This window comes from Homo sapiens, chromosome 1 (assembly GCF_000001405.40).
Source record: "Homo sapiens chromosome 1, GRCh38.p14 Primary Assembly".
Classification (NCBI taxonomy): Eukaryota; Metazoa; Chordata; class Mammalia; order Primates; family Hominidae; genus Homo; species Homo sapiens.
The window spans coordinates 83896500-83908795 of NC_000001.11; the positions used below are offsets into that span (position 1 = coordinate 83896500).

At 34.9% G+C, this 12296-nt stretch overlaps 1 protein-coding gene across 6 annotated transcripts in view; it reads right to left on the reverse strand.

The window, feature by feature from the left end:
* Positions 1-12296, reverse strand: part of TTLL7 (tubulin tyrosine ligase like 7) — a 134109-nt gene that overhangs the window by 31476 nt on the left and 90337 nt on the right. For 5 of the 6 annotated variants that reach the window (NM_001350215.2, NM_024686.6, NM_001350214.2 and 2 more), the window contains 3 exons: positions 10957-11162; positions 9830-9964; positions 7580-7660 (listed from right to left, as the gene is read on the reverse strand). In NM_001350215.2, coding sequence (NP_001337144.1) covers positions 7580-7660; positions 9830-9964; positions 10957-11162 — 422 coding nt within the window. Of the gene's footprint in view, positions 1-7579; positions 7661-9829; positions 9965-9991; positions 10025-10956; positions 11163-12296 lie in introns of those variants that run through there. The other variant, XM_047430686.1, reaches the window with a different exon arrangement.

Consider the following 12296-nt stretch of genomic DNA (forward strand, 5'->3'; position numbering starts at 1 on the left):
ATAACATTAAAATCACTACATGCTGTACTAATGATGCATGCAGCAGCGATGGCTATAGGGTAAAGGCATCTTTGCTGATGCAAAACGAACAGCTCTGAACAGCATCTATGTCAGCCTGAATAAAACAGAGACGGAAAATAGTATCATCAAAATGCATGCAGAAGCAGCCACAGTAGGTATTAAAAATAAATTGCTATTTAGAGAAGTAATACTTGATAAACAAGGACCTCTTAGCACCCTAAAATAAATGCAAATACAGTACAACCTTAATGTCATTAGTTATTTCTCTTCATCCTCCACTCTTAGTTTATGTTTAGGTATCACATCAGATAATAAGCTTTTCAGCAAATCTGGCATTCTTTGCAGCCCACCAACATGACTATATTTTCATACTTCATATATATTCCTCACAAACTATATAAAGCAACTGCATTCTTGGCAGAAAGCTAAATTATGCAAGTATGGAGTTACCACAACATGACATTAAATAAGATTAACTATTTCCATTTTCACCTGGTGAGGGTTCTTTTCAGGATTTAATTCCCATACCCTTGATCTTTACATTTTACATCCATTAAGGAAAATTTGAAGGCAAATAATTTTTTTTTAATTTCCAAGAACAGAAAAAAGGAAAGCATGTGAAAGACTCTGTGTGTATGTCATTCTAATCTTGGAGCTTTACAACAGGCTAATAACCACAAATGCCTCAATCCTGGAACAGGAAAAGTGGTATATATATTTCCATAATGGTCTCTAAATGGAATTAAGATACTTAAATAAGAGTCTTGTGCTTCCATACCTTGAATAGTGCCTGGGGCATGGTAGTCCCTCAATAAATATCTGTTGAATGCATGATTAAGTGAGCAAATAAATGAATGAGTAAACAACTCTCAAAATCCCTAACAGTGTCTAGCATATTATTTGTATAAAATTGGCAATCAATAAATGTTTGTTAAATTAAAATGTATCACGCACAGCCTTTGTGGCAGCCATGGAGATGTGCCACTTAAATTAACATGTTTCAAAGAATGCAGTTAGCTGATGGCTTCCCCACTGGGGATCCACTGCAATATTCAAACCATGCTTACACTCTCCCAAGATAGTTCCCAGCCAAGGATGAAGCATGGCTGGGATACGAGTGAAGAGCTATTTCTGCTCACTGTGATCCCTTCAACAGCCAGTCTTTGTTCTGGGCTCCCCATCAGCCTGACCACAACTTTCTCAGAGATCCACTAAAGTCTGAGGTTCTTCCTACCCAGTCCTCCTCCCTTGCATTCACTGGAGTCAGACCTGCATTGTAGCCCTAAGGCTCTTCCTGCCTACTTGCGCTCTCTCTCCCCATTATCTTCCTTGGGTGTTTTCCATTAAAAAAAAAAAAAAAAAAAACTTTCACTGTTAATTCCACCTTAGTGTCTGCCTCCCAGAAGATTAAGCTGGTAAAGCTTTCAATGATTATTGACTGACATCACAGCCAAAAGAAGGATGGATCTGATTAACATGCATCTAATGTAAATTAGTTAAGTCCTTAGCTTTCTAAACAGATACATTTTTGTAATATCTAATTCTGCACTCCACAGGTGACCTACATTTCCAGGTTTCTTTTAGTTTCTTGGATGCAGTTTCTAGCTTTATAAGACAATAGCACAAGTTTCTAACTGATAGCCAAATAAATGATCAATATGTTATAGGCCAACAGACAATTTTTATACATCATTTTTATATATTCTATACAAAAGAATACCCCATATGAAGAATTCTTAGTAAAATAAAATACATCAGAGAAACAGTCTGACATGGGGAACCTTAGTACAAAAGAAAAAATTTCAGCCTGCAACCCTTCTAAGGCTAGAGTACATTCCCTTATGATGTCTCACTTAAGCACAAGGACCCTTCAATACTTAATGTTGTAAACCTCAAAGAAGTTCTGAGAAGTCACCTGTCCAAGGTAAAGGCCATAGGCAATACTGAACTCAAGTCCATACTGTCTCATGAGATGTCTACTACAATGTCATGTAATGAAAAGAGGTCTAGTAACTCTTTCTATTACATGCTTTTGCCTCTCTAATTTCACCATATAAAGCATTTTTTCAACGCACTTTGACTCATTATTATATTAGCTCTTATATTGTCAGGCAAAAAAAAATAATTCAGTCAGTCACTGTCTGATCACTTTACCTCTGATTTTATCAGAAATAAACTTCAGGTAGGGAAGAGGTGGAGAAAAAAATTATATATTAAATATATGTATATAAATAAATCAGCTAAACACATTTAAATTTGTTCCAATGATTACTTCCAAAATTACCTCTATATTTTTCTCTTATTCCTGTCTGGGGTAAATTTTAAGTATTTCACATAATTAATTCTAATGCTACTTACTAAGTAGAAAAAATTTTTTTTAAAAAATCCCAATGAGAATATGTTTACATTAGAGTTCAATACCTCTGTTGCTGGCTGGTTTGCACTGCTGGCTGGCTTGATGATTTGTATTCATGATGTGTATATTTGTTAGGCTTCTTTTTGTGAATATAGATAAAAGAACCTACAAATTTTGGCAGGGTTAACTTTATAAAAATGGAAAGTTTTATAAAACTTTATAGTAAAGTTTTAATATAAAGCTCCTTATATTAAAGTAGTTACTCATGGGTAAGGGGTCTTAAATTACCTGAATAAGGGGAAGAATGTCATCACAGAATGAATGCTGCTGAAAGCTGTCCTCTGCTTATTTTCCCAGATGTGCCTCACCTTTCACTATATATCTGAGAAATTTGAGACTGTTTTGGGAAGGCCTCTTAAAGAACAAAACTGTTGAAGGAAGAAAAGGAGCCCCAATAATCATGAGACTAGCAAGAAAAATTGCTACAAACAAGTTGCACCTGTTTAAATCCTGGGCTTCCACTTCTTTCACAGCCTAGGAGTAGCATTCCTCAGCGACTTTCAGGGCTCCATAAAATTGGGCATCTTTGCAAGATAAACTTGCTGTAGTTAAGACCAGCCCTTTCTGTTCTTTTAAGAGCCAAAATTCAATATATGAATTTTTCTGCGAAAAAAATAGAATTGTCTATAGAATTGTCTATTAAATTGTCTATGTAGAAGAATGACAGTAAACGTTTGGGTAGTGCAAACTGTGGGACTTTAACAAGCTTTTCCTGAAGACTGAATACATCGTTACACAAATACATCGCAAGCACAAAGGAAACACAATACTTTTGATTTATACCAAAGGAAGAAGCAGCGAAGCAGCAGCAAAGGAGCTCAAAAAAAAAGAGTAGCAGGGTATAAAAATTGTAATAAAGCTCCTCCCCTCACATTAGTGCTTCCACTCCCTCCACATAACGGTGTATGATTAATACTTAAAGGTGGTTGTACATCTGAGAACTGGAAGAAGAGATTACATAAAAATAGTTCACACCAAATATTCTTAGAATAAATCAGTATCAAAGAAGTAGATATACTGGTATATGTACTCATTAGTAAATTTATAAACAAGCATTTATTTTTCCTCTAAATGTAGAAAGTCAACTGAGCATAATAACCCTAAAACATATGAAATTGTTTCTTCCAATTCACAAATATTATTAGTCACACATGTCATTTAATCATCCCATCAATGTTTAACAGGCCTTCTCACATCACATGTAAAAAACAGAATAGCACTGTCTTATTATTGCTGTTCAAATAAACATCACTAACTAGTAAGGAAAGAAGACTACAGAAAGAAGCAGCTAGCTTGCTACTGAGTCTAGAATTAAAAGAGTCTAGAATGGAATCAACTTAACAAAAATTGATAGAAAGCCTCCTGCAGTTAACTACAAAATGAGACCCATCCTCTTGGCTTTTTAGAGGGATGGAAAAAATTATCCATAAATTTCTCAAGGGAGATCATAAGATAGCTGAATACAAAGTGCCATGAAGATTCAAGTAGAGAAAGATATCTGGTTGTAGGGGACTCCAGATGCTTTGTGAAGGAGATGGAGCTGGACCTTCAAAATATGTGGTGTGTGAGATTGTAAAGAAGGGATTCTAGTCAGCAAGGACAGCCGAAGCAAGGTCCTGGGGTCAGGGAGAGACACTCTCTGCCTCTTTCCCTTATTCCTACCTCAACACAAAACAAACGCACAGCACCATTACTTCACAAGCCCTTTCCATGGAGATGCCTTATCACTGTGATGAATGCTTATGTACAAAAATCTTTTACACGTTCAGGCAATTATTCTGTAGGATGGAATGCTGGAAGTGGTTTTGCTGACTCATAACATTATGAACATGTCATTTTAATAGATACTACAAATTACTTTTCTAAAGACTTGTACCAATGTACTATCTTTCTGTCTAATAGCATAGCAAAGGCCCTTTTACCCATACTATTTCCATCACTGGATATTATGTGTCTTACTAATTTTTGCTCATATGATGTTTTTTACTTGTTTTTTCCTCTTCATTAGTAAGGTCAAGGATCTATTTACATGTTAAATGGCTATCTGAAATCCATAAGTTGTCTTTTCATGGTCTTTCTATATGCTTTGCCATTTTATTTGTCAACATTTATAGGCAAGTTTCTTTTGTTGATTGATTTGCAGAAGGTATTGGTTCACTAGTGTTACTTGTCATTTTATGTGCTACACTTATCTGTCTTCCTCAAACTCCTCCTCTATCCCCCACCCAATTGCCCTCTCAACTTCTGCCTTTTAAGATATCTTTTACCTTTCATAAGATTTTATGTAATCAAATCTGCTGATCTTTTCCTAAGATTATAAACTTATCCTTCTGTATTTTCTTTTAAATTTTTAATATTTTCTTTTTTACATAGAAAGCTGCAATTATATGAAGTTTGTTTTTATATAGTGAGAATTAAGGCTCCAACTTAGTTTTCTTACAAATAGATAATTGCTTCAGTACCACTTAGTGGAAAAATCATCTTTTCTCTATTGGTTTGAAATACCACATTTATCCTGTATTATTAATATCGTACTCTCTACTTTTTTAAATTAGCAACTTACCTACACTTCTCTCTCTTCTAGATTACAAAAATTATATGGACTTAAGGAAATTCAGGGTTCCAATTCTAATAAAAATTCCATATTTCCATTAATCGAAGCCAAAGTCAGCGACTTGAAAACATATTCAGGGCTTCTCATGTGTTTTGCAATCTGCCTCTGTCACCAGCTTTACTACACCCTCCTCAACAGTGTACTCTACGTGGCACATGGCAGGACACTAAGCAAATATTTGCTGAATGAGTTAATGTGCAACAGTGAGTTCAGCTTACTCAGATAAAAGTATATAATTTAAGAGTCATCATGTAATCAGCATCAAGTTTCAGCTTATTCATGACAATTCCTAGAAAGGGCAAGTGATAGTTTGTATTACTGAAGGAATTCGACAACTTCACTCCACTACTAAAATAGTCTATCTCCCAGAAAACAATGTTACAGTGCAGTTGATGGGCCCTTCATGGTGCTGGCCACTCCACTCTTCCACTCTCCAAGACAACCATTATGTACCTTATACTCTCTCCCCAAATCTCCAGAAGCCCTCCCCACCAGAAGAAAACTTTCCCATCTTCCCACCACATTCCCATGCACCTGCCTTCCCCCCTGTTAGAATAAATGCTCTTGATTAGGAAAACCCTCCCCCTCTCACAGCTTACTTACTCAAGAACTTTTTAACACCTCTCTTTCCTGGGCCATTCCTCTCTTCTAAATCATTCTCATCATCATACAAACTGAAAACATCTTCATCTTAAAAAAAAACAAAAACCTTCTTGTTGGCCCACATTTCTCTCCATCTACCACCACCACATTTCCCTTTCCCCTCTATAGCAAAATTCCTTGAAAAAGTGCCTGTAGTAACTGTGGTGTTTTGCTTTCCACTTTTCTTCTTCTTGTACATATTCCAAGTTTTACTCCCCACCACCCCTCTAAATTTATGATTGGGGTCATCGCTAACATCCACATTGCCAAAAATTACAGTCAGTTCTTAGTGCTCAGCTTACAACCTCTGTCAGCAATATGTGACACAATTGATTACTCTGTCCTTAAAATAATTTCTTTTCTTGGCTTCAAGGACACCCAGTTCTCATGGTTTTTTCACATTTTACTGGCTGCTCCTTCTCAGTCCCCTTTGATAGATTCTCCCCATCTCTCTGATTTCTACATGTAGGAGTGGCTCAGGCCTCAGTCCTTGAAACTCGAGGTAGTTTCATCTAGTTGACACCTTAAATATCTTAGAGACTCCTAAATTTTTGTTCACCATACACAATCTTAGCCCTAAACTCAAAACTCTTATACAACTACACACTCAACATTTTCACTTGGATGTCCAATCAATATATCAACATCAACATGGTCAAAATAAAAATAAAATGAAACAACAGAAACAGCAAAACCCTCCCCCTCTTTCTCCAGCATCCATCCATTCAGTTACCACCCTAGCTAAGCACCCATTAGCTCTTGCCTCGGTTACCCTAAAAACCTTCTAGCTGGTCCCTATTTCTATTCTGCCAAATTCCCACTCCCCCGGTTCTATTCTTCACAAGTAGTTCTCATGATTCTCTTAAATTCTAACAGGCTATGTAACTTCTTTACTCAAAATTTCCCGTGGTTCCTCATCAACTGAAATAAAACCCAGTATCTTTCCATAGCCTACAAAGTTGTGACCTAGGTCCTCCCTATCTGTCCAACCTTATCTCTTACCAAGACCCCATCACTCACCATTTTCCAGCTAAAACAGACTATCCTATAAATATATAAATAAAATGGTGCCTTGCTCTGCTTCATATACCCATCAAACTAATTTCTACCTCAGCATCTCTGTATTTGTTCTTCCCTCTGCCTGAAACATTGTCTCTGAAGATATCTGTATAGCATGATTCTCATTTAAGTCTCTGCTCAAATACTACCTTCCCTCTATTTTTTTATCTCAATTTATTTTTCTTCATAGTACTTAGTACAGTCATCCCTCTCCACCTGTGAGGACTGGCGTCAGGACCCCCACTCCCAGATAGCAAAATCCATGGATGCTCAAGTCCATGATATAAAATGGTGGAATATTTGCATATAACCTATGCACATCCACCTGTATATTTTAAATCATCTCTAGATTACTTATAATTACTTATAATATCTAATACAATGTAAATTTTATGTAAATAGTTGTTACACTGTTGTATTGTTTAGGGATAATGACAAGGGAAAAAAAGTCTGTATATGTTCAGTACAGACACAGCCATCCTTTTTTTTCCAAACACGTTCAATCCCTGGTTGGTTGCATCCATGGATGCGAAACCCACAGACATAGAAGGCTGACTGTACTACCTTACATTCTATTATGCATTTATTTATTATCAGACATCTTAACTAGAATGTAAGTTCTATGAAAGCATGGATTTTTAAAAATTCACTTTTGTATCCTCAGAACCTAGAAGAGTGCCTGACACATAATAGATACTTAATAAGTGTTTGTTGAAGAAATGAGTAAACAAATGAGCAAATATACAGTCTGTCTATGAATTTGGCTTAATGATCCTAGCTTAATACATAATCCAAGAGGGAAAAAACTTGTTTTGAGCATTACTCACTTTTCGTTGTTTTACAGAGTCCAATTTTATGAGCCAATATGAAGCCACTTTGGTTTTATGATACTTCCAGTTATCAATGATCTGTTTGGAAGGAGGAACATTAAGAAATTTACAGGTTGAAACCCATTTTTTAAATTAATTTGTGTAATGAAAGCACTATAATATACTTGCAACAAATAATGCCAACTTTCATAAAAACACATGTGCAAAGATTTCTAATACAAATTAAAGAAACCATCTACATCCAAAGCTTTCTATTCTAGTTGTATTAAGAATACAATCTCTGTGGCCCACACCTGTAATTCCAGCACTTTGGGAGGCTGAGGCAGGCAGATCACTTGAGGCCAGGAGTTCAAGACCAGCCTGGCCAATATGGCAAAACCCTGTCTCTAAGAAAAATGTAAAAATTAGCTGGGTGTGGTAGTGCATGCCTGTAATCCCAGCTATTTGGGTGGCTGAGGCACAAGAATCACTTGAATCCAGGAGGTGGAGGTTGCAGTGAGCTGAGATTATACCACTGCACTCCAGCCTGGGCAACAGAATGAGACTCTGTCTCAAAAACAAAAAACAATCTCCAATGAATGAAAGTCAAATGTCTTCAGGCACATAAGATTTGGCAAGAAATCCAAGAAATAGATTTTTCATTTGTATTTTAGAGGCTGATTTATCATTCATAGTAATAAAATATTGAATAATGCATTAGAAGGCAGCCTATATGAGAATTCTACTACTTTGTTTTATTTTTGTGCAAGTCTGCAAAACTTCTGAATATATAGTCTTGTAATATATACTGTAGTAAACAGATTAAAATATTTACCACATGTAGTGAACACACAATAAACAATTTGATGTCTGCTATAAATATTCATTATATTTTATTAATTATATAAGCCTATATACATTCTTTATAGAACAATCATGATAGTCAGAAATATTAGTTTTACTCTTTGATTGTTTAATTTTCTTCTACCTGATTCAAAAAGATGGGATATAACTAATATCTCTAAGAAATATATAAAATAAAGTGCTACAAAGTCATTGGCTATATATAGAAAATTTTATCAAATAAGATGACATAGGTAAATAAAAGCACATCTAGTATAATACTTAACATCCAATGCTTTCTTTCATTTCCTTTAATGTAACTAAGTAGCACCTAGCTTGCAAACAAGTTACCATTTTCACTTTTTAAAAATATATATAACAACAAAATATATAATAATTGGGGGCTTTGCTTATGACTGTGTCATCAGTACATAATATAAATTCTAGTTATGGGTGTTTTTTAGCAAGAAAGTCTCTTTTATTGTTGTTTGTTTGCTTTTTGTTTCTACACACTTACTTCAGACAGGTCTAAAGTATATGCTAAAAAACGAAAATGCCAAGTGCATGGCTGTAGTTTTTATCCTATAACTGGCCACTAGATGGTGCCCTCTCCTCTGGGAAAAAAAAACATATATTTTATATACATAATTTATAAAATTATATCTGTAAAAAAAAAAATGGCCCAAAATATATTTTTATATATTTATAAATATACATATGGCCCCCAAAAAACAAGGTTCTATTACTGAAGGAACGAAAAGGATGTTTGAATGAAGAAATGTAACCTTGCATGAAGAAATGCGCTTTCACAAAAATTATCTGAAATAACTTGGACCCTCTTTCTAAATTAGGAGTAAGTCACTGGTTTTAATGTGAATTTTAGGACCCTCTGACATTTTAGAATGTTCCACTGGGTGGTGCACATGTGTGTGTAACAAGAAAAACACACAGCTCAGCATAAGTCATTTCAAAAATCTGACCCCAAAAATGTGACATTCAAGGTGTCACATTCAAATATTCTTGACATTTTATGCCACAGCCCCACATTTTTCATCATACCCCATTCCATATTAGTTCTTTCTAAATCTTTATAGAAGCAGGTTTAACATGATATTTGATTAATCATTAAGAACAATAATTATTTAACACTAATTATTCTGACTTGATGAAGCAGACTTATCATTAAAATAGCACTATATACTAAAAGATACTTTGTACTGCTGATTATAATCTGATCTCACTGTCCATGAATTGTAACAATTAAAATAAACCCCTGTATTTTCTAAAGCTAGTAGAGGTTGAAAAGAACATCAATTAAATTTACTATGTCACTGAGCATAATGCCTTCAGGAAATAAATTTTAATATTTTAAGAAGAATAAAAAGGTACCAGCTCCTTGGCATTTTAGATACATCACATACTCACATCTTCTATCAGAAGTTCTGATTCTGCATCTGACTTTCCTGGAAACCGGATCTTCATGTCTTTGAGAACAAATAAGGTCTGACTTGTTAGATCATCTTCTTGTTCTTTTGTTTTCAGTTGCCGCAAAGACTCACTCTTAAATTTGAAAGAATACAGATATTTGGAGGGGGTCTTATTTCATTGTGCCAGTATAATCTGAAAGATATTTCTAGGTAAAAATGATGCACTTTTAACTGAAAACAATAACAATGAAAAAGGAAGAAAATTTTCTTTTACACTTGTGAATTCTTTGGATTAAATGGATATGAATCCCAAGAGTGTCTTTCACACTTCCACAAGGTTATACTTATTTAGCTCAAAGTACTAAAATAAAAATATAAATACTTAAAAAGGACTTCCTGGTCAGTTTCATTTGCTACATATACCTTAGGCAATTTTTCTTGATTAGAAAAAAAAATTCATTGTTACCAAGTGAAATTCACTCACTTATATTTCCTGACTTCCCTTTGGAAACATGATCCATATTAAATAAACAAATTAAATAAATCCTTAGTCTATGTGAAGGTAGTCGGAGCTATCTATTTGAGCATCTAAAAGTAAGCCTTCTTACAAACTAAATTCACTACTTTCTAAATATCAAATCTCTGGGATTCATGCTAACAAGGGAATACTATATGTTAATTTAACATACAGAACACATTATAAATAACATTGTACTTAAGTGCTCTAAGGAGAATTTATCATTTTTTAACCTATTAATCAACTGTCCCATTAAGTAAAATTTTCCAAATTTCCTCAAATTTAAAGATAGACTGCATAATACACTGCAAAACCATACATTTCCTCAGGTAATTTTCAGTAATATTATCCTACTATATCAGCAAATAGAAAATAAAATAATGCTATTCTCAGTGCTCATCTTTGAGTTCTGTGATAGAGTGAAGTCTGCACTTTTTAAGAGTCATACTAAATTGTAGGCTAAGGTAGGTGAATAATCCAAATTTCAAGAGGTCATGAGTTGAATTATGGAAAGGATCTGAGGTTCAGTCTGTCCTCCTCTCATCTGATCCCCTTTGCCTGAGTACAGAGCTCCCTGTAATCTTGAAAGAGCAAAACAGATGACCTACCACTTGAGAGTTGGTAGAGCAGGCATCATTACTGTGAGGCAGATGCCTCATGTAGGAGGAAGCACGGTTTAAGGAATGTGACCGAGATGCAGAAGTTGGCCGTGACACAGATATCATTTGTTGAGCAGAAAATGGGCGGGTGTCCCCACTGGAAGGTGATTGAGCAGAGATGGACCGAGGGCAGCTGACTGAACGTCTTATGGAGCCTATCAGTGATGGAGAAGAGGGATACTACAGTAGCAGTATTAATACAAGTTTTTCACTGTATGAAGTCTATATAAACTAAAGATTATAGCAGCTAGTAGTAAAGTAGCAATAAATGTCAAAGCATAGGCATCATCATGAGAATATGAGTTTGGAATACACTTTTCAACAACAGTGAACTTGTTGCAGAAGAACCCCTGTAATGTATAAAAAATGGCCCTTGTGGGAATAATACTATCAACAATCCTTCAATGTTATATCCTGAAAACATGAGCTAAGAGAACCAGAAGAAAGGAAAATTAACATTTATGGAGCATATTCTATAAGCCAGGCATTGTGCTAAGTGCTACACTTATATCTTAGTCCTCATGGAAACCCTCTGAAGTAGGGATCTCCATTGCCCAGAGGCTTAGAGAAAGAACTTTTTCAAGGTCATACAGCAAGGAAGTGGTCAAGATCAGGTTTCAATCCTGACCCTATCTAATTCCAGTGTCTTCCCTTTTTCTATAATACCATGATGCTATCCACTATCCCTTGAGATTTGACTGGTCACTCACAAGAATCTGTGTATAGGTTAGAGATTGAACATTTTACAGCAAGATTCATAGGGAGGGCTGGAAAGGCATACAGGCTAAATAGGTTAAGTTATAGAATTTAGAAGCCATGAGAAAAAAAACAGTAATAAAACAAAAGAAAAATATGCAGATTATCCTAACGGAGTTTAAATACAGAATTGGTTATTATAAAGAGTAGTACTGAACAGAGAGTATTTTAAGTCACAAGAGTAAATAATTTTTTAAGTAGGTTAAATTCCTATAGAAAAAGACAAGTGAAGAAAAAAATGTATGGATCTATAGGGTTGTTATCAGAACAAATATCTAAGAGAAACTATAAAATATCTTCCCCAATGCATACTAAGAACACCTAATAAAGAAAACCAACTGTTCCAGATAAATTTTGACTCCTGACACAGGGAAATAGATCATCACTCAATACTATCAATATTTTTATTGTTTTTCAGTTCCTATGGTCTATATATCCTCTGTTCTGTATTCTTTCTCTGCTTGAGGAATATATCTTCATTAAATAATTTGGTAAAATTCACATGAAGCCAGGTTGAATACCCAAATATTTCT